This window comes from Homo sapiens, chromosome 12, assembly GCF_000001405.40.
Source record: "Homo sapiens chromosome 12, GRCh38.p14 Primary Assembly".
Classification (NCBI taxonomy): Eukaryota; Metazoa; Chordata; class Mammalia; order Primates; family Hominidae; genus Homo; species Homo sapiens.
In genome coordinates, this window is record NC_000012.12 from 52,041,290 (window position 1) to 52,060,272 (window position 18,983).

General features: G+C 57.0%; 1 protein-coding gene and 2 long non-coding RNA genes across 14 annotated transcripts in view, besides 3 other annotated features; 1 reads left to right on the forward strand and 2 right to left on the reverse strand.

The window, feature by feature from the left end:
- The window catches only part of NR4A1 (nuclear receptor subfamily 4 group A member 1), a 36,672-nt gene extending 18,458 nt beyond the window's left edge, over positions 1 to 18,214 (forward strand). For 5 of the 12 annotated variants that reach the window (NM_001202233.2, XM_005268822.4, NM_001202234.2 and 2 more), the window contains exons 2-8: positions 521 to 640; positions 13,038 to 13,915; positions 14,741 to 14,870; positions 15,205 to 15,356; positions 15,768 to 15,970; positions 16,063 to 16,241; positions 17,399 to 18,214. In NM_001202233.2, the coding sequence (NP_001189162.1) occupies positions 604 to 640; positions 13,038 to 13,915; positions 14,741 to 14,870; positions 15,205 to 15,356; positions 15,768 to 15,970; positions 16,063 to 16,241; positions 17,399 to 17,655 (1,836 nt within the window). In that variant the 5' untranslated portion in view covers positions 521 to 603 and the 3' untranslated portion in view covers positions 17,656 to 18,214. Of the gene's footprint in view, positions 1 to 520; positions 641 to 2,404; positions 2,623 to 4,190; positions 5,359 to 10,152; positions 10,385 to 11,206; positions 11,357 to 13,037; positions 13,916 to 14,740; positions 14,871 to 15,204; positions 15,357 to 15,767; positions 15,971 to 16,062; positions 16,242 to 17,398 lie in introns of those variants that run through there. The other 7 variants (NM_002135.5, XM_005268824.4, XM_017019247.2 and 4 more) reach the window with 7 other exon arrangements.
- On the reverse strand, positions 7,316 to 9,865 carry LOC107984510 (uncharacterized). Its single transcript, XR_001749148.3, has 2 exons — positions 8,745 to 9,865; positions 7,316 to 7,920 (listed from the first exon to the last, which is right to left on the reverse strand). It is a non-coding gene; the product is annotated as an uncharacterized LOC107984510 (long non-coding RNA).
- Positions 9,788 to 10,197: a silencer, noted in NCBI's record as "silent region_4482". NCBI's record gives its function as "represses an Ori minimal core promoter by ATAC-STARR-seq in GM12878 lymphoblastoid cells {active_cell/tissue: GM12878}" and the evidence as "EXISTENCE:reporter gene assay evidence [ECO:0000049][PMID:35858748]".
- Positions 10,289 to 10,846: an enhancer, noted in NCBI's record as "H3K4me1 hESC enhancer chr12:52445362-52445919 (GRCh37/hg19 assembly coordinates)". NCBI's record gives its function as "activates a minimal SCP1, AML or CMV promoter by ChIP-STARR-seq in primed H9 embryonic stem cells {active_cell/tissue: H9 hESC(primed)}" and the evidence as "EXISTENCE:reporter gene assay evidence [ECO:0000049][PMID:30033119]".
- Positions 11,698 to 11,817: an enhancer, noted in NCBI's record as "active region_6389". NCBI's record gives its function as "activates an Ori minimal core promoter by ATAC-STARR-seq in GM12878 lymphoblastoid cells {active_cell/tissue: GM12878}" and the evidence as "EXISTENCE:reporter gene assay evidence [ECO:0000049][PMID:35858748]".
- Positions 17,461 to 18,211, reverse strand: NR4A1AS (NR4A1 antisense RNA). Its single transcript, NR_170321.1, has 2 exons — positions 17,812 to 18,211; positions 17,461 to 17,744 (listed from the first exon to the last, which is right to left on the reverse strand). It is a non-coding gene; the product is annotated as an NR4A1 antisense RNA (long non-coding RNA).
- Positions 18,215 to 18,983: the final 769 nt, after the last annotated feature.

Genomic DNA, 18,983 nt, shown 5'->3' on the forward strand with positions numbered 1-18,983 from the left:
CAAGGTGATAAGCAGTGGAGCTAGGATTCGAACCCAGACGGTCTGGGATCCCACATCCACTCTACTCTAAGTTGAGTGGAGCCCCTGTCTCTTGGGGGCCTCCGAGGCTTTAGGGGCCAAACTGGAGCCCCTTAAGGAGAGTGGGGTATTCCGCTCTGTCCTCACAATAGCTCCCTTTCTGTGCCCGCAGCATGCCCTTTTGTGCATGTCAAAGGCCGAGAGCCAGGAAGGGTATGAGGTGGAGTTGCTAGATGCTGATGTGTCTATATGGCTCTGAAATGCCCCAGATGCTATCAGCAGCTCCTGGCCACACCCTACACCCCTGGAAGCAGATTGCCTGGGGCCTCGGCCCCCAGGCTCCAATGCCTAACCCGGGGAGGTCCTTGGGCGCTGGCTTGTCCCCCTCTTGTGGCCTAGGTCCTGCCACTGCTCCCATTCCTGCGTGTCCTGGGCATGCTGTCTCCAGGGAATGTGCCTGCTGGCTGGTTTCTCTTCACTCACATCGACTCTCCCTCTGTAGGCCTCCACCATGGACAGAGGCCAGGCCCTGCCCCTCCCAGGCAGCCTGGCTCCTTCTGCTGGGCCCTGAAGGCAGACGGGATAATGTGGTTGGCCAAGGCCTGTTGGTCCATCCAGAGTGGTAAGTGCTCTGCTATTGTCCTTTGTACACCCCTCCAGCAGGTGGGGTTGGGGGGCAGAGGTGGGGGTGGAGCTGCCCAAAGCGGATGTGGTTAGGGGGATGGAGGGGAAGCCCTGGGGAGGTGGCAGCCGAGGTGCTGTTCAGTGTGCGGGATCTGATTTCTTTAGAGGTTGGGGTAGTGTGAGTGTGGGGACTGGGGAAGCCTTATTTTCTTGGCAGGATAGGCTGGAGGGCTCTCTGGGCCTAGGTGACACGGGCTGGTGGGAGTAGGGGATGACAGCTGCTCCCAAGGCAGCATGTGCCTGATTCCAGGAAGCAGATAGGGTAGAATAGGGTGTCTGGGGGCTGGGCTGGGAGCATCATGGGGCAGACGTGGCAGCGGGGAACTGGCCTGTCTCCCAGGTGTAGACACTTCTCCAGGTGAGTGCATGAAGGGAAGGCTGGGACCTCCCCTTCCTCGTGGAAAGCATGGTGCCTGCCCCTCCTCACTGTGGCAGGCCAGAGGGCCTATGGAGTCTGTGGTGTCGGGGGTGGCCTCTGTGAATGGGAAGGCAGGGACAGCCCTTCCACTACTGGTGTTCTAGCACATCTCCTTCACTTACAGAAGAGGAGACTTAGGTACAGAGGGGAGAAATGACTTTTCCAGGGGTCCTGCAGTGAGGATGTGTAGAGCCAAGCCCAGAACCATGCCTCCTGGGTGGCTGGCAAGCACAGGCACCTGGTCTGACTGTGGAAGACATACCTTCCTTGACTGAGGGTGCTTCCGGAGAAGGCCCACACTGATCTGGGGCTGAGAGGTGGAGGACGGGAATGGGATTTTCAGCAGGCCTTTCCTGGGGACATGAGATGGGGCCAAGGGCACTGTAGTCCTGGTTCTGTGCCTAAAGGAGCTGGAGCTCTGCCTTGCACCCCAGACAGGGGTCATGAGATTCCCTTCCTCCTTCCCTGGAAGAGGGCCATCTTTGGGCAGCAGCCCTCCCAGGCCTTGAGAAATCCCGGATGAAGCACGCACTGGCTCAGTATCTCCCTCAGCTTCCCAAACACTGTTGCCTCATGGGGGGTCAGCGTTCAGGGTGCAGAGAGCCCCAGAGAGGTGGCTGGGGTGGGGAGGATGGGGTGTCTGGTCCCAGCCTGGAGGGAAGGGGGAAGCCCTGGGAAGCAGGGCCTCCTGTTCTGGGGGCAGGGCTGGGTGTGTGCCTGGCCTCCTGATGGCAGCAGGTGCTGTACCACCAACCTCGGGCTGAAGACAGGGAGAGGAATTACTGTAAGGGGGAGAGGCAGGTGTTCTCTGGTCAGCTGGAGATCTGGACTTGGGAAGCACGTGAGTGAGGATGACAGCAGTGGCCAGGTGTCCCTCCCTCAACTCGGCCCCTACATCCGCCCCCAGTCCAGACCCAGCTTCCTGAGCACTCAGCCCTCCCTCTGGGTACACAGCAGCCCTGGTGGGCAGAATTCCTTGTGTTTACCTCGTTGTCTGGGTGATGGTGGTGATTGGGTGGAACTCCCATGCCAGATATACTGCCAAGGCCACCCTGAGGGGCTGCCAACCGGGGCCCCATGAGTGCTAGAGCTGCTGGTCTTGTGACGTGGGCACCTGTCTGCCAGGCCTGGGCACGGGCCCAGGGTCACGCTCATGCTGGGGCTCCCGTCAGCTGACTATTTTGGGCTCTTGCTGACCTGGGCCAAAGTCAGGTCCAGTCAAGAGGGCCCAAAGTGGCTCCCCCCATCCCCAGAGGCCGGCTCTGGTTTCTGCTATATAAACAGAGGAGGACACGCCGGCTTGGAGGCAGCACCACATCCAGAGCTCGCTCAGCTGCTGCCCAGCCTCGGCTGTGAGGATAGGCTGGCTGGGCAGCACGTCTCTCCCCACAGGGCTCCCTGAGACCACCAGGAAGAGCCCCCAACCAATCTTGGGATTCTCCCTTCGTGCGGTTGTCTGGGACCTTTTTCCAGGGTCAAAGCAGATCGTGAGGAGGAAGCTGGTGAGTCTTGGGACAGGGACATTGAGGAATGGGAGCTGGGCTGTTTGGATTTTTTCCCATTGTGACTGTCATGCCAAACCCTTTGGCCTTGGGCTGCGGGGAGGAAGCAAGGGTGGCCGACAACTGGAGGCATGAGTGTGCAGCTTGACCACAGCTGGATGACGGTAGTTGGACTTGTGAACGCTGTGACTGAGAACTAGGAGAGGTGTACAGAGACAGCTAATGCAGTCTAGCTCCTTTCTCAGAGCTTCCCCACAGGGTGTCCGTCCTCCTCTCCTCTCCACCCCGCCTGGATGAGGCACTGGTCACTGCGGCGAGTTTGGTGTCCATTGGGGTATCTCAGGATTGGCTTCTGAGTGGGGCCCCTGAGCCCCCACTAGTTGGGACTGAGTGGCTGGGCCAGGGGCTTGGCGTTCTGCTGAGCCCTCAGTCCCTGGCCTGCCCCGCTTGCCGGGCCCTTGCCCGGCCTCCCAGCTGCTTTGGGTGCCTGAGAAGCAGAGCTGGAGAGAGGTCTGGCAAGTCCGCCAACCAGCTTGCCACAAACACGCTCCGGGACCTGGGCCAGGGACTCTGGCCCGGCATGGAACAGGCAGCAGCTCCTTACGTGGGAGGCTCCTGTGCTCTCCTTCCCAGTTCTCAAAAAAAAATTTTCCCCTTTCTGAACGTGAGTCTCTAAACGAATCCAGAGCCTGTGACTAAAAATACTTTAACAATAGGAAAGTGCATCAGTCTTTCCGGCTGGGACTCGTTATCAGAGAGTTTTTATTTTGGAATTTGAAATTTTGCCCACGTAGGCTGGGTGGAGACCTTGGGCAGAGGCAAGGGAATTTGGTGGGTGCTGATGTTCTGCAAGGTGGTGGGAGACCCTCCAAGGCGAGAGGAGAAGAGAGCTGGCCAGGAGCTGAAGAGACTGAGAGGGAAACTGAGGGAGGTTCAAGGCGTGGGGCAACCTTTCCCAAAGGAACTCCGTGATCTTGTCTGTGTTTTCCAGCCCCGTCTGGTGGTTCTTCCTGAAGTCTGATCTTATTCTTTTATGCTGTATGTTAATTTCTTCTGGCCTGAGAGGGAGGGAGGGAGGGGTAGAGAAATCACTGGACTGAAGATAGCCTCTGTGGCCATAGCCTGACCTCCTTAATTAACTAGCTCTCTCCAGAGTATTAATTGACCACTCGCTGCATACACAGTCTAGAATTCTCCCAGTGCTGGGTAGAGCCACATCTCTGGGCACACTCTCTTTTCCTCTCACTCAGCCCAGGAGTGGGAGAAGTAGAGATGGGGTTACTGTTTGTCTGTAGTTCCTGGAGCAGGAGGGCTGCCGGCTCCCCCGTCCAGCTGAGGACCCTGCTATCTCCTGCCCCTGCCACCCTCCCTGCCAGCCCCAGGATTCTGCTGCAGGCTGCTGTGGTTGTCCCGTTGCAGACATGAGTTCCACAGGGCCGAGTGTGGGACTTGAGTATGCATGGATTTTGGTATATGTCGGGGTCCTGGAACCCATCCCCCTGTAGCACTTCCCTGTGCCCTGGAGGTACTGCCTGCCTCCCGACTTCCACCCTCACTTGCCATTACAGGTTTCCCATGACAGTGGGGGAGCCCAGGCCCCAGGCAGTGCTACATTTGGATGTGGAGCCTCTCCTTTCCATTGTGAACTGAATTCTACCAGCACTGGGCCTGGTGATGTCTGCATTAGGCAGATGAGGAAGCAGTCTTGGAGAGGACAAGGGACTGGCCTCAGGTCACACATCAGGCTTGCTAGCTCCTGGACAAAGATGCCTCTGATAGCTCTTCCATATTTCGCCCCTGCTGAGAGCTGAGGGGAGGAGTGCGGCCACTAGCTGACCTGCCTGGGTCCCTGGGAGGCTGGTTTTGGGGAGGTAGTGATACATGTGCTCATGGTAGGGCTTGGGCAAGGGCCAGGAGAGCAGAGCCTGGGCCTGACCTTTCACCCCTGGTTCCCAGAGCTGCCCACGGGAAGCCCCCAGGGCAGTAGGCAGTGCTTCCCTGCCCACAGTGCAAATCCCCCTGCCTACTGCCAAAGCAGGAAGAGGAAGTGGCCGGGTCAGGGCTGGCAATAGGCCCTGGGGCCGAGGAGGGGAAGCTCCCAGGGCCACTTCTGAGCTGGAGAAGGCAAAGCTCACTCCTTCTGCCCACCCCAGGGGAAGGGTGTGGAGGCCCATGGGTGGGGACAGTCTCAGTGAAAGTAGGGCAAGTTCCTGACCTCTACTCAGTAGGGGTGGGGCCCAGCCCAAGGTGGAGGGGCAGCGTGGGAAAAGGGCTGTGTAATTCCACTTCCTTCATCCCCTGTTTACCCATCTCCACCCCTACCCTCTGGGCTGGGGAATGGTGGTGGACATTGGCTGCTCACTTGGGGCCTGCCCTGGGCTACTTACTACTGAGGATGCACAAAGGATCTTCCCACCACGGACTAGGAGACAGTGCCCTTGTCCTCATGTTGTTCACATACTGGTCGGTGAGGGATGGGTCTGAGTACATGATAAATCCCTGGGCCCCATAAGATTTGACTAGGAGGGGTAAGGGCCTGGTGAACTGCTCAGAAAATAAACTGTGTTGTCAGCAGGAGGACCCCTTTCTACTATGAGATATTGCATTCCCTGCTAATCATACTTGTGCTCTATCTGTTGATAGAACAAATACATAATGAGAAACAGCCACTGTGCTTTCAGAAGAACACACTTGAAAGAATTTGTTCTCAATAAATTACATCTGCATCTGGATCCATATGAAGAAATACGTTCCTCTCATTCAGGCGTGGCTATTTTAAAATAAAATTTGGGCCGGGCACGGTGACTCACGCCTGTAATCCCAGCACTTTGGGAGTCCGAGGCAGGCGGATCACGAGGTCAGGAGATCGAGACCATCCTGGCTAACACAGTGAAACCCCATCTCTACTAAAAATACAAAAAATTAGCCGGGCGTGGTGGCGGGCGCTTGTAGTCCCAGCTACTCAGGAGGCTACTAGGAGGAAGGGAAACAGTATGCACAGTGGGTGAAACAGTATGTGCAAAGTGGGTGGTGGGAAGGTTTAGCTCAAGGTCCTTATATGGGGTCGGTGGGGAACTGCGGTGATGAGGGCAGATGGATAGGCTGGGCCGTGGTGTGGGGGCCTGACTAGGTGGGGCTGTCTCGTCTCCATCGTGACATCTCTCCCCGCCCTTCCATGTTGTCATGGCCTTGCCTTACCTCCAGGTCCCTGTCTCTAGTTTTGGATACCTCTCTCATTATTACCTGTTCCCTCCTACCCCATCTCCCCGACAATTAGCTGTTCACTCTGACCTTGTTCTTGAAGGTTAGACTTGGAGGGGTGTGTGCTGGGAGTCTGTGGCCAGTCTGGGACCAGCATTTGTTTTAGGCCTCCCAAAGTCCACGTCAATTGTGCCTTTCTCCAAAGTTCCACTAGCTGGACCCCACTCTCTCAGAGGCCCAGGCCATTCTCCCTTGAGGGCCCACAAGGCCTGGGATCCCCAAGCCCCTTTCACCTCTCTCGCCTTTATCTTAGGCTAGGTGCTCCACACGGGAACCTGCATTGGTGGCCCCAGCTGTGTTTCCACAGAGGGACTTTGCCTTTTTCTCCTTATTTACTTATTTTCAGAATGTGGTGTGTTGAGCACCCCCACCATCTCCCACCCCTGCAAGCATGACCAGGTGGCAGCTGTAGTTCCTTATCCTCCTCCAGGCTTTGGGGCAGCAGGACTGCAGCCTCCATAACCTGCAGCAGCTTGGGGAGGTGGGGCCTGGGCTGCAGGCCCAGATCTGGAGGCTAGATGCTGAGATTCAGACCAGGGACCTGGACAGCTCCTCACCACACTCAGTTTTCCTTGGGCTTATGGGTGGGCCTACCCCACAGGATGGTCTGTGCCACTTTTTACAAATGCCAAGTTGTGAGGAGGAGAGGAGGGTGCCTGAGCTTGAGGCTGGTTCAACTCTCAAAGAGCTAGCAAGGCTGGGCCGAGGGCGGTGGCTCACGCCTGTAATCCCAGCACTTTGGGAGGCCAAGGCGGGTGGATCACGAGGTCAGGAGATCGAGACTATCCTGGTTAACACGGTGAAACCCCGTCTCTACTAAAAATACAAAAAATTAGCTGGGTGTGGTGGCAGGCACCTGTCGTCCCAGCTACTCAGGAGGCTGAGGCAGGAGAATGGCATGAACCTGGGAGGCGGAGCTTGCAGTGAGCCGAGATCGCACCACTTCACTCTAGCCTGGGCGACAGCACCATCTCAAAAACAAAACAAAACAAAAACAAAAAACAAAAAAAGAGCTAGCAAGGCTGAGATTGAGCACAGACTGGTCAAGCCACAGATAACGCACTTGTTCTTGCTGGTTGGCAGGAAGAACAATGGCTTGGCTGATCATCTTTTGCTACCTATTAAAATTGGTTTTATTTTGGCCGGGTACAGTGGCTCATGCCTGTAATCCCAGCACTTTGGGAGGCCAAGGCGGGCAGATCACAAGGTCAGGAGATCAAGACCATCCTGGCTAACACAGTGAAACCCCGTCTCTGCTAAAAATACAAAAAAATTAGCTGGCGTGGTGGCAGGCACCTGTAGTCCCAGTGACTCGGGAGGCTGAGGCAGGAGAATGGCGTGAACCCGGGAGGCGGAGCTTGCAGTGAGCCGAGATAGTGCCACTGCACTCCAGCCTGGGTGACAGAGCGAGACTCCGTCTTAAAAAAAAAAGTTAGTTTTATTTTCTAGGGAAGGCCCTGCTGGGGTGGAGGGAGACATCCTGGGGCAAAGTGGGTGCTAGGTGAGGAAGTCAGCCTGTGACACAGCTGGGATCAGTTCCACCCAGCAAGACTTGCTGTGTGCTCCTGAGCAAAGTGTAGCTCCTCTTGGAACCCTTGACTCCTAATCTGCAAAATGGGAGGACTTGAATTCTATATGTGGTTTTAAACCTTTTTTTTTTTTAAGCTGTGGAGTCATTTTCCACAAAAGGATTCCACAAAATCTAAGCAAAATCTTACGGAAAAGCCTAAGAGAAAGAAAAGCAAAACTTTGCCTGAAATGAGGTAGGGATCCTGGATGGGTCCAATTGGCATCATCCTGCCCACACTTCACATTCAACCAGTGGCCTTGAAGGAAGATGGTTTGGAGCAACCCAGAGCTCTCTGCAGATGCATTCACGTTGAGACTGTATGCTGGGATGGAGGGTTCTGGCAGGTTCTGACCAGATGACTGAATGCCATCAGCATTACAGTCACCCCTTGGTTTATGAAGGGGGTTGGCTCCAGGACCCCAACTTGTACTGCGAATACTCAAGTCCCACTGTTGGCCCTGTGGAACCTGTAGATACTAAAAGTCGGCCCTCTGTATATGTGGGTTTTTGGATCCATGTTGGATTGAAAAAAAATCCCCAAATCCCCATATGAGTGGACCTACACAGTTCAAACGTGTTGTTCAAGGGTCAACTGTGTATGAAGACTGCTCCATCTGTGGTGGACAGTGAGGCTTTAGAAAGAGGAGACAGGCAGGCTAATGGATGGTCTTCATGGGTGTGGGAAAGGAGGAGTGGTCACTGGGCGCAGGCAGTTGGTCTGTGGGACCAGTGAGGCATGGGCTGTGGCTGGCAGTAGGAAAGCGGGAGAGGCTGAGTGCAGTGGCTCATGCCTATAATCCCAGCACTTTGGGAAGCCAAGGCAAGAGGCTTGAGCCTGGGAGGTCCAGGCTGCAGTAAGCCATAATCATGCCACTGCATTCTAGGCTGGGCAACAGAACAAGACCTTGTCTCAAAGACAACAAAACAAAACAAAAACGGGGAGAGGAAAGGACCCAAGAGATGTTCCAAAAAAGAATTTCAGGAAACAGTGAAAAGTTGCAAATGGGGCATCAGGAGCCAGGAGCAGAGATTAGGTGGCAGGCAGGGGGTGCAGAAATGACAAGTTCTGTCTGGAACAGATGAAATTTGAGGTGCTTGTGGGACCTTTGAGTGGGCAGAAGCGGGGGCTGGAGACAAGGGTGTGGGAAAACTGTGATGGGGGTTGAGGGTGGAAATCGGGCCGGCAGAGCCTCCGGGGCAGAGAAAGTCCTATGGGGTGACCAGATGAGTTGAGAACTGGGTGGGTGGGTGCAGGCTCAATGGAAGCAGAAACTCATGGATATTGACTTACATGGGAGAAGGGGAATGGATGGGGGTCGCAGTGGGGTGGCAGGGCTCTCTTTTCCTTGTTTTTGTTTTTTTGCCCTTCCCTCTTCTCTTACTTTTCCGTGAGGGCTCCCCAGGCTCAGGAGAGATCAGGGTGGAAGGGTGACGGCCAAACCAGGGAAGGCTCCAGGTGGCTGAAGCCTGGTCTGTGCCCAGCAGGGCCCTGGCGGGCTGTTCCTCACTCCACCGGGCAGGTGATAACTGGTCAGAGCTGCCTCCCCACAGGTGCTGGAGGTAGGCTGGGAGGGCCGGTGCTCCCTGATGTGGACAGGGGGAGGGGTATTGATAAGAGGCGTGGAGAGATCCCTAGAGATGCAGTCTGTGGCCCTGGGTTCCAACCCAGTGTGCCACCACCTGGCTGTGTGACCTTCAGCAAGTGCCATTATTTCTCTGAGCCTGTTTGTTTATAAAATGAGGAAGAGTTGGCACAAGTTTGAAAAGATTTCTCAGGCTCCACCCGGTTCTGAAATTCGGTAATTTCCCAACTAGGGTGCACTCCCCCTGTAAGGGGCTGGGGAGGGGACGGTGCGAAACCAAGTTCAGCTTGTGGAGCGGAGCCAGAGCTGTTGGCCGAGCTTGGGCCTGGCCAACGCCTGCCCTCGGGAAGGTCCTGTGTAGGGAGACTGCCTGGAGGGACTAAGCGAGGGCTCTAACTGACGTCTCAGGGGCAGCCTCTCAGCCTGAGACCCTGCTGGGGAAGCCGCGTCCTGTGCACTAGCTGCGCCTAGGGCTGAGGTGAGGGCGCAGGCTCCCCAGGGTGTGTCCGAATTGCCCGCCTCAGCCCGCGGCCTGTCCTGACCGCCCAGCAGCGGCAGCAGCGACACCCTAGGGCTCCAGGAAGGGCTTGGGAAGGTGTAAAGGCGGGGCTAGGCTCGGAGGGAGCCGGAGGGACCGGGCGCGGTTGGCTCCCGGGAGCAACTGGAGAGTGAGGAGATCCTCATCCGGGGAAGCCCCGCGGCCGCGTCTCTACAGCGCCCCTTCTCGGGCTCTGGCCCTCCCGCTGGTTATTCTGGACCTGGGGGCCCCCAGCTGGGACCCGAGTCCGGTGCGGGGAGCCTAGTGGGCCTGGGAGCTGCTATTTTTAGCGGGCGCGGCGGGCGCGAGGAGCCTATTTATAGATCAAACAATCCGCGCTCCCTGCGTCAATGGAACCCCGCGTGCGTCACGCGCGCAGACATTCCAGGCCCCCCCTCCTCGCCCCGCCCCCTCGGGCTCCCCGGGCCGCACCTCCCCCTGGCCGCCTCCCGCCGGAACCGCACCGCCCCCCGCGCCCTTGTATGGCCAAAGCTCGACGGGCGGCCTGCGTCAGTGGCGCCCCCGCCCCTCCCCGTGCGTCACGGAGCGCTTAAGAGGAGGGTCGGGCTCGGCCGGGGAGTCCCAGTGGCGGAGGCTACGAAACTTGGGGGAGTGCACAGAAGAACTTCGGGAGCGCACGCGGGACCAGGGACCAGGCTGAGACTCGGGGCGCCAGTCCGGGCAGGGGCAGCGGGAGCCGGCCGGGTAGGTTCCCTTCGGGGAACGTGCATCTGTTTTTAGGAGCGGTGCATGAAGGAGATGGGTGTACGCGCGGGCAGAGAGGATGTTGTAGGGCCGGCATGCAAGAGGGTAGGTGTAGTGTGCAGCTGTAGCACAACGGGATGAGAACCCAGGTCAGACTGGAAACTACTGGGTGCGGGGTAGGAGGTAGGGGAGGTTGACTACCTGCAAAGTGGAAGCTGTAGGGGGTTGGGGTTGGCGCCGGGAGTAGGGACTTGTCCAGCAGGCGGCTGGCCTTAGTTCAGTCTCCTAGGGTGCCCAACTGGGCGCACGGTGCTCTGAACTTGGGTGGGTGTGGATGGGGGTCACAGCACCGTGGGGGAACAGGTACACAGAGCTTTGGCGCTGCTGGGATCCGTACGATTCTAACTGGGATTGGATTTCCAAAAGGCCCTCCTTCCTCCCAGCCTGTCAGCTCCCTCCCAGTGTCCCGGTTGTTTTCTTAACACTTTAGAGGCTGTGGCTGAGTTGGCAGGGGTTCCCCACCCTGAACTTTCTGTCTGAGGTGCGTTAGGAAGCCTCCGGATCATTGAAGGAAGTGACTGGCTTGGTGGCTGACCTGTGGAGGGCTGCTTGCTGTGTATTGAATAAAGGAGGCTTCTTGGGGTCGGGGCAGGGTCTCTGTAAGCACAGGGAGAATTGATTTCGCTGGGGCTTGGATCACGTGTGTGTGTGTGTGTGTGTGTGTGTGTGTGTGTGTGAGAGAGAGAGAGAGAGAGAGAGAAAGAGAGACAGAGGTGGAAACCCTTGTCCTTGGGGATCCTGGATAGAAGTTGCCAGTGTTGGAGTCTTGGGGCGGTGCTGCCTAGAGGATACCTCCCAACCATTCCAGCTCCAGATGCTGATCATCCCTATGCCCCCTCCCCCAGTAGTCTCTGTTGGATCTTACAGGTAGGGTGCAGCCTGAGGCTTGTTCAGCAGAACAGGTGCAAGCCACATTGTTGCCAAGACCTGCCTGAAGCCGGATTCTCCCCACTGCCTCCTTCAACCCCGCCTCTTCCTCCTCCTGTGGGACTGCTCCCCCCTCCTGTGAGGCTAGATGTAGGTCCATATCTTGTGTTGTTAAGAACCTGCATGAAGGGGGAGGGACTGATGGGGGTTGATCCGGATGTGGGACGTCCAGGTGGAGAAACAGGATTTGAATAAGGCAGGAACAAGCGCCCAGTTCTGCCCAACTGCTGTCTTTCCTCCTTCACCCCCAGCCCATCCCTGGCCAGGCTGTCCTAGTGCAGGCAGATGTGGCCACCCTCACCTCTCGCAGGGTGCTGCATGCCTGTGGACTGGTGCCACTGGGTGTGTGGGGCCTGAGCTACAAGGGTCTCTGTTGTCTTGGTTGTCAGGCTAGGGGTGGAGGTGCCCTGTTCAGGGCCTGTGGAGTTAGAAGGAAGGCTAGGACCAGAGAGGACTTCCTGGGCTCTTGGCCAGGAGGTGGTGACAGCCTTTGCCCCCATCACTGCACCCCTTGATTATGGTACTCTGTTCCTGCTTGATTTCTTCTCCAGCTTCCCTCATTGACTGGTGAGGCCAGAGTTACGCAGACCCCAGGTGTGTAGGTTGGGAGGGAGACTGTCCTGGAGCCTCCTCTGCATTATTTTTTGACCATTCTGTGAATGTAAGGATCTGCCTGAATGATGCTATCTCTGTTCAGGCTCTCTTCAGGCTCCTCGGGACTGGGGCTGTGTAACCCCCTTTGCCTGAGCCTCTGGATTCTTCAGGGCACAGACCCTGCTTTAGTGGAGGGACCCAGGCAGGGGCAGAATGTCTTCCACCCACCCACCAGCAGGCTTCTCCTTAAGTCTTCTGCTGGACTCTCAGAGTTCTCTTATTAAGATAACTGGGGGCAGCAGAACATTCTTTTTAGGTACTGTTGTCCATTCTCCTGAGAGTCCAGGGGGCTGTGGTCTCCTTCCTCCCCCCTTGCCCTGTCCCCAGCAAATGGCCTTTAAAGGTCTGGAGCCAGGTTACCGATGAGGAGGCCTAGGTTCCCTTCCTCTTTGCTTCTGGGAGCATCTCGAGCAGTGCAGAGTGGCTTCCCAGCCCCAGATGGCAGGATTGGGGTGGGTTTGGGATCTGCTGCCTTTGCTCAGTGTGCAGGGTTGGGGTGGAAATGGGGGACAGGCTAGGGCCTCTGCATTAGGCTGCCTTCTTAGGCAGGTGGGCTTTCACTTCCAGCTCCTCTTCCATTTTCACGATGTCCTTCTTCCTAGGCACTGCGAGGGGAGGAGAAAAGGGGCTTTGCAGAGGCCTGGGAGTATTCCCAGGAAGTGCCTGGTTGGCGAAACAACCAGGGAGCTGCTCCTGGGAGCTGGGCTGAGGCTTTGCTGGGCTGCCTCTCCCACTCACCCTTCTCCCGGCCCCCACCATGCCTTCCCCATGGGGGAGGGGCAGGGGGCTGGAGGAACACAGCTTCCCCCTGTTCTAGCAGAGAAATGCTGGCTGTATGCCTCCCCTAGGGTTCCCAGGCTGACTAGGGTGTGGCTGGCCTTCTGATGGAGCCCACTCATGCTGGGCCGCTGCCCAGGGGCTTTGTGGCACCTAGGTCGAGATGGTACTCAGGCCAGGGGTCAGGATTCCTGGGTGCTCTGGTCCCGGTGCCTCTGTCTCATCTTTAGGCTGGGATTCCTGCCACCTTGCTGCTCTGGGGCCCAAATACTTTGAGACAAGGCTATAGGCTTGTCCCACTGACTCTCCTTTCCCTCCCTGGGGTCTCCTCTCTCTCCAGAGATGCCCTGTATCCAAGCCCAATATGGGACACCAGCACCGAGTCCGGGACCCCGTGACCACCTGGCAAGCGACCCCCTGACCCCTGAGTTCATCAAGCCCACCATGGACCTGGCCAGCCCCGAGGCAGCCCCCGCTGCCCCCACTGCCCTGCCCAGCTTCAGCACCTTCATGGACGGCTACACAGGAGAGTTTGACACCTTCCTCTACCAGCTGCCAGGAACAGTCCAGCCATGCTCCTCAGCCTCCTCCTCGGCCTCCTCCACATCCTCGTCCTCAGCCACCTCCCCTGCCTCTGCCTCCTTCAAGTTCGAGGACTTCCAGGTGTACGGCTGCTACCCCGGCCCCCTGAGCGGCCCAGTGGATGAGGCCCTGTCCTCCAGTGGCTCTGACTACTATGGCAGCCCCTGCTCGGCCCCGTCGCCCTCCACGCCCAGCTTCCAGCCGCCCCAGCTCTCTCCCTGGGATGGCTCCTTCGGCCACTTCTCGCCCAGCCAGACTTACGAAGGCCTGCGGGCATGGACAGAGCAGCTGCCCAAAGCCTCTGGGCCCCCACAGCCTCCAGCCTTCTTTTCCTTCAGTCCTCCCACCGGCCCCAGCCCCAGCCTGGCCCAGAGCCCCCTGAAGTTGTTCCCCTCACAGGCCACCCACCAGCTGGGGGAGGGAGAGAGCTATTCCATGCCTACGGCCTTCCCAGGTTTGGCACCCACTTCTCCACACCTTGAGGGCTCGGGGATACTGGATACACCCGTGACCTCAACCAAGGCCCGGAGCGGGGCCCCAGGTGGAAGTGAAGGCCGCTGTGCTGTGTGTGGGGACAACGCTTCATGCCAGCATTATGGTGTCCGCACATGTGAGGGCTGCAAGGGCTTCTTCAAGGTACCGCGCAGCCCCAGGTGGGGCCTTTTGTTGGAAATGGAGAGAGGCTGGCCTCATCCCATTGGGACCTGTGGTCTCCCCCTGGGTTCTCCTCCTAGCTAAGTCCTGTCCTGCAGGGTGGGATCAGCCCTGCCAGGTGGGCCGCCTTCCTGGAGACCCGTAGATGCCAGGGCTGGAAGCTTTCATTTGCCGGGACACTCGGGCCCATGGGATTGCACAGAGCTGGAGGGAGGGGTGAGATAGGGGCAGATAGGAGCTGCAGGGGTGCCTGGCGAGCCTCTGGTTTTCCTCTGCTCCTCTGCCTGTCCTCTCCCAACTCAAGGTTCTAGTGGGAAGGGGTGCCCCCAGGCTCTCATGTTCCTGGCGTGAGATGAAAGGATCCCTGCGGAGGGTTTGGTTCTTGAGGGCTGGGGGTGGACTTGGGAACAGGCTGTGTGTTTGTCCCAGCGATGGTGCCTGCTTAGCTTCCCGTCCCCACCCCCCAGCCCCTTGGCCCTCTCCTGTCTGCCCTAGGGAGAAGGCAGGTGGACAAGGGCCCATGAAAAAATACAGGTGTCTAGACTGCCAGGGAGACCCTGGCCCCCAGTAGTGTGTCCTGGGGACTTCCTCAGAGCGAGAAACCTCCCCCAATGTCTTCAAGACTTTTCTCTCCCCCCGCCCAACCCCGTCTCTCCCTCCCTTGCCACCCAAATGTTAGAAAAATAGCTGTGAACAGAGAGCGCTTTTGTCTGCAATGGCAGCAGGATCTGGACGGTCCCCTCCCCTAAGTTCCCCCCTCCCCACCCCACACTCTGACAGCTTGTTCCGTGTTGCCCCCCCACCCAGCGCACAGTGCAGAAAAACGCCAAGTACATCTGCCTGGCTAACAAGGACTGCCCTGTGGACAAGAGGCGGCGAAACCGCTGCCAGTTCTGCCGCTTCCAGAAGTGCCTGGCGGTGGGCATGGTGAAGGAAGGTGTGTGGCTGGGGTGCGGCCCAGCGGGGCAAGGGTAGGCTTGAGTGGAGTGGGACCAGCAGGGCCCCCAGGCTTCTGCCCTGGAGGACCCAGAGGAGGGCACGTCTTATTTCCACCCCACCTCTGAACCCCAGGCCTTGGAGGGAGGCAGCCTACACCTGCCTGGATTGTGAGGGTGGTGGCAGGGGGAGGTTCCTATAGGGTACCTTGGATCTCAGGGACTCTGGGTCCTAGGGACTCGGTGGGGCGCGTCTCAGCAGTGGTGTGCACGGCTTGGGCTGAGAGGCCCTTCCTCAGATCCCTTCCTTCCTCACCCCTACCCATTCCTTTGCAGTTGTCCGAACAGACAGCCTGAAGGGGCGGCGGGGCCGGCTACCTTCAAAACCCAAGCAGCCCCCAGATGCCTCCCCTGCCAATCTCCTCACTTCCCTGGTCCGTGCACACCTGGACTCAGGGCCCAGCACTGCCAAACTGGACTACTCCAAGGTGAGGTCCCACCCCGTGTCTGCCTTGGGGAGGTCTATGAGCACATGCAGTGCCTTTGTGCGTGTTAGGAGAGCTACCCCCTCTGGAAGGACTGAATGAGAAAGGAGGTTTAAAAAAGAAAGAAAGAAAAGCGACTCCCTCCAGTTCGACAGATCAAAGAGAGGATCCCCCTCTCGGCTGACCAGATGGGAAAATGCACCCCCTCAGGCAGGTGGCCAATTAGAAAAATATGTCCTTTTGGCAGCTGCAGCCCTGGGTTAATATGTGAGACTTGGCAAGTGAGAGCCTGGGCAGGATCTCAGATCCACTCCCACTCCCGGGATCTGGCATCCAAGTGTCTGACACAGCCATACGTGGCAGTGGGTGTAGGAGCCTGCCTGGGGTGCTGACCCCACTGGACCGTCTTCCTAGTTCCAGGAGCTGGTGCTGCCCCACTTTGGGAAGGAAGATGCTGGGGATGTACAGCAGTTCTACGACCTGCTCTCCGGTTCTCTGGAGGTCATCCGCAAGTGGGCGGAGAAGATCCCTGGCTTTGCTGAGCTGTCACCGGCTGACCAGGACCTGTTGCTGGAGTCGGCCTTCCTGGAGCTCTTCATCCTCCGCCTGGCGTACAGGTGAGAGCCACTGACTGTCTGCCCAGCCCCTTTCCCTGATACACCTGCCTGTGAACCACCCTGATCGCTCTTCGTGCCCATCTGCCTGCCAGGTCTAAGCCAGGCGAGGGCAAGCTCATCTTCTGCTCAGGCCTGGTGCTACACCGGCTGCAGTGTGCCCGTGGCTTCGGGGACTGGATTGACAGTATCCTGGCCTTCTCAAGGTCCCTGCACAGCTTGCTTGTCGATGTCCCTGCCTTCGCCTGCCTCTCTGCCCTTGTCCTCATCACCGGTGAGTGACCAGCACCACACCAGGTCCAAGGGAATGGGCGTCAGGGGGTTGACTGGTTCTCAGGAGGGCACTGTCCCAGGGAGTTTGGTGGGCCGGGATCTAGCACTTTCTGGGCCCCTGCACTGCCCCGGGCTCATGCCAGCAGTAAAGTAGGGACCATAGGAATTGCAGATGGGCTCAGCTGCATCCAGCTCTAAAGCGCAAGACAGCCTTTGGTCCCAGACTGTCAGGATCCAGACTGCAGGTGTCATGTATGTGGCCTAGGGTATTGGCTTGTTTTTAAAACCTTCCTGTCAATTATGCTGCATATAGAAAAGTACACAAATGGTAAATTTTCATAAACCGCACTTACCCAACCAGCGCCTTGGTCAAGAAAGAGCACATAACTGCCCCCCAGAACCCATTATTGTGCCCCCTTCCAGTCATTTGCCCTCCCCAAGGGTAACCACTACTTTTTATTTAAATATTTTAAAAATAAGATGGGAATCTCACTATGTTGCCCGAGCTGGTCTCGAACTCCTGGGCTCAAATGATCCTCCTGTCTCAGCCTCCTAAAGTGCTGGGATTACAGGTGTGAGCCACCACGCCTAGCCCTTCACTGTGACTTCTGACAGTGCAGATCAGATTGGTTGTGCCTGTTTTGGACTTTATGTAAATGTAGTTCTGCAGGATGGAATCTGGTGTTGAATGCAGAGGTTTTCAGATTTCTCTGTTTTTTAAAGGAAAGAATCCACCCTCGTTCATTTTTTCACTTAAATTGCACAGGGGACCCAACGATATAGAACACAATCAGAGGTACTCTGGGCTGAGGGAGTGCTGAGTTCTGAGGCTGGGTTTCTCAGAACAGTCTAGATTTTAAAAACCCAATGATCTAGCCAGAAAACGTAGGTTAGGATTTTATTTCCCGTTTGTGACCCTGGGCAAGTCATTAGCCTCCTGGGCCTCGGGTTCTCACTTGGAGTATGAGGATAATGAGGGTTACTGCTTCTCAGACTTGTGACGATGCTTACTAATGGCCAACATGTGAATGCGCTTTTGTGAAGTGCCAGCAGAGCATGAGGGGTGGTCAGGGGCAGCAGTTTTAGGGGCCTGGGGGAGGCTGGGGCTTTGGGGGCCTGGTTCTCAGATGTACAGCTAATCCTGTACCCTTCCCGCAGACCGGCATGGGCTGCAGGAGCCGCGGCGGGTGGAGGAGCTGCAGAACCGCATCGCCAGCTGCCTGAAGGAGCACGTGGCAGCTGTGGCGGGCGAGCCCCAGCCAGCCAGCTGCCTGTCACGTCTGTTGGGCAAACTGCCCGAGCTGCGGACCCTGTGCACCCAGGGCCTGCAGCGCATCTTCTACCTCAAGCTGGAGGACTTGGTGCCCCCTCCACCCATCATTGACAAGATCTTCATGGACACGCTGCCCTTCTGACCCCTGCCTGGGAACACGTGTGCACATGCGCACTCTCATATGCCACCCCATGTGCCTTTAGTCCACGGACCCCCAGAGCACCCCCAAGCCTGGGCTTGAGCTGCAGAATGACTCCACCTTCTCACCTGCTCCAGGAGGTTTGCAGGGAGCTCAAGCCCTTGGGGAGGGGGATGCCTTCATGGGGGTGACCCCACGATTTGTCTTATCCCCCCCAGCCTGGCCCCGGCCTTTATGTTTTTTGTAAGATAAACCGTTTTTAACACATAGCGCCGTGCTGTAAATAAGCCCAGTGCTGCTGTAAATACAGGAAGAAAGAGCTTGAGGTGGGAGCGGGGCTGGGAGGAAGGGATGGGCCCCGCCTTCCTGGGCAGCCTTTCCAGCCTCCTGCTGGCTCTCTCTTCCTACCCTCCTTCCACATGTACATAAACTGTCACTCTAGGAAGAAGACAAATGACAGATTCTGACATTTATATTTGTGTATTTTCCTGGATTTATAGTATGTGACTTTTCTGATTAATATATTTAATATATTGAATAAAAAATAGACATGTAGTTGGAACTGAGATTCAGTCTGTCTCTGATGCCCCCTCCCCACTCCCCCACCAGACACACCCCATCATTACATAAGAGATGGGCTGCTCAAGATGAAACTTGGATGTTACCAGCCTGAGCTGTCAGGCCTCAGTGTACTCATTTGTAAAAGGCGGATAATAATGACACCTGCTTCACGAGGTTGTTATGCAAAGCACTTAGACTAATTTCTAACACGTGGGAAGCCTGCATTAGCTGTGCCTGGCTAGCTGTGCCTGGCTCATTGCTGGGGTCTGCAGTGGCTGACTAGCCCAGGGGTCACTGCAGGGCCCTAGCAATAGACTTAGCCGCAGATCTCAGGGTTGTCATGTTTCCTAAACTGGACATATATTCTCTGATTCTTGATTTCCACATCCATAAAACAAGAATAGACCCAGCCTCACAGAGCTTTTACGGTCAGAGGAGTGTGTGTGTAATGCTTAGCATGGGCTGGGTTTAAGTAAGCCCAAATTGGTAGTAGCTGTTACATTCAGGGTTTTAACATCCCCATTCTCAACATTCCTCCCCACTCTCCTGCCACCCCAGCAAGAAGATCCAGGGATCTGGCGGCCCTCACCTTCTCGGCAAGAAGATTGTACTGAAGTCCCTACCTGTGCCCGTGTCCCCACGTAGGCCCTCCAACCCCCTAGGCTCGTCAGTTGTTTAGTCAGCTGGCTTAAAATGCAGATTCCTGGGATCTACCCCCAGAGACTCAGATCTGGGGAGGTGAGGGGGCCCCAAACCTTCAGTTCTAGCAA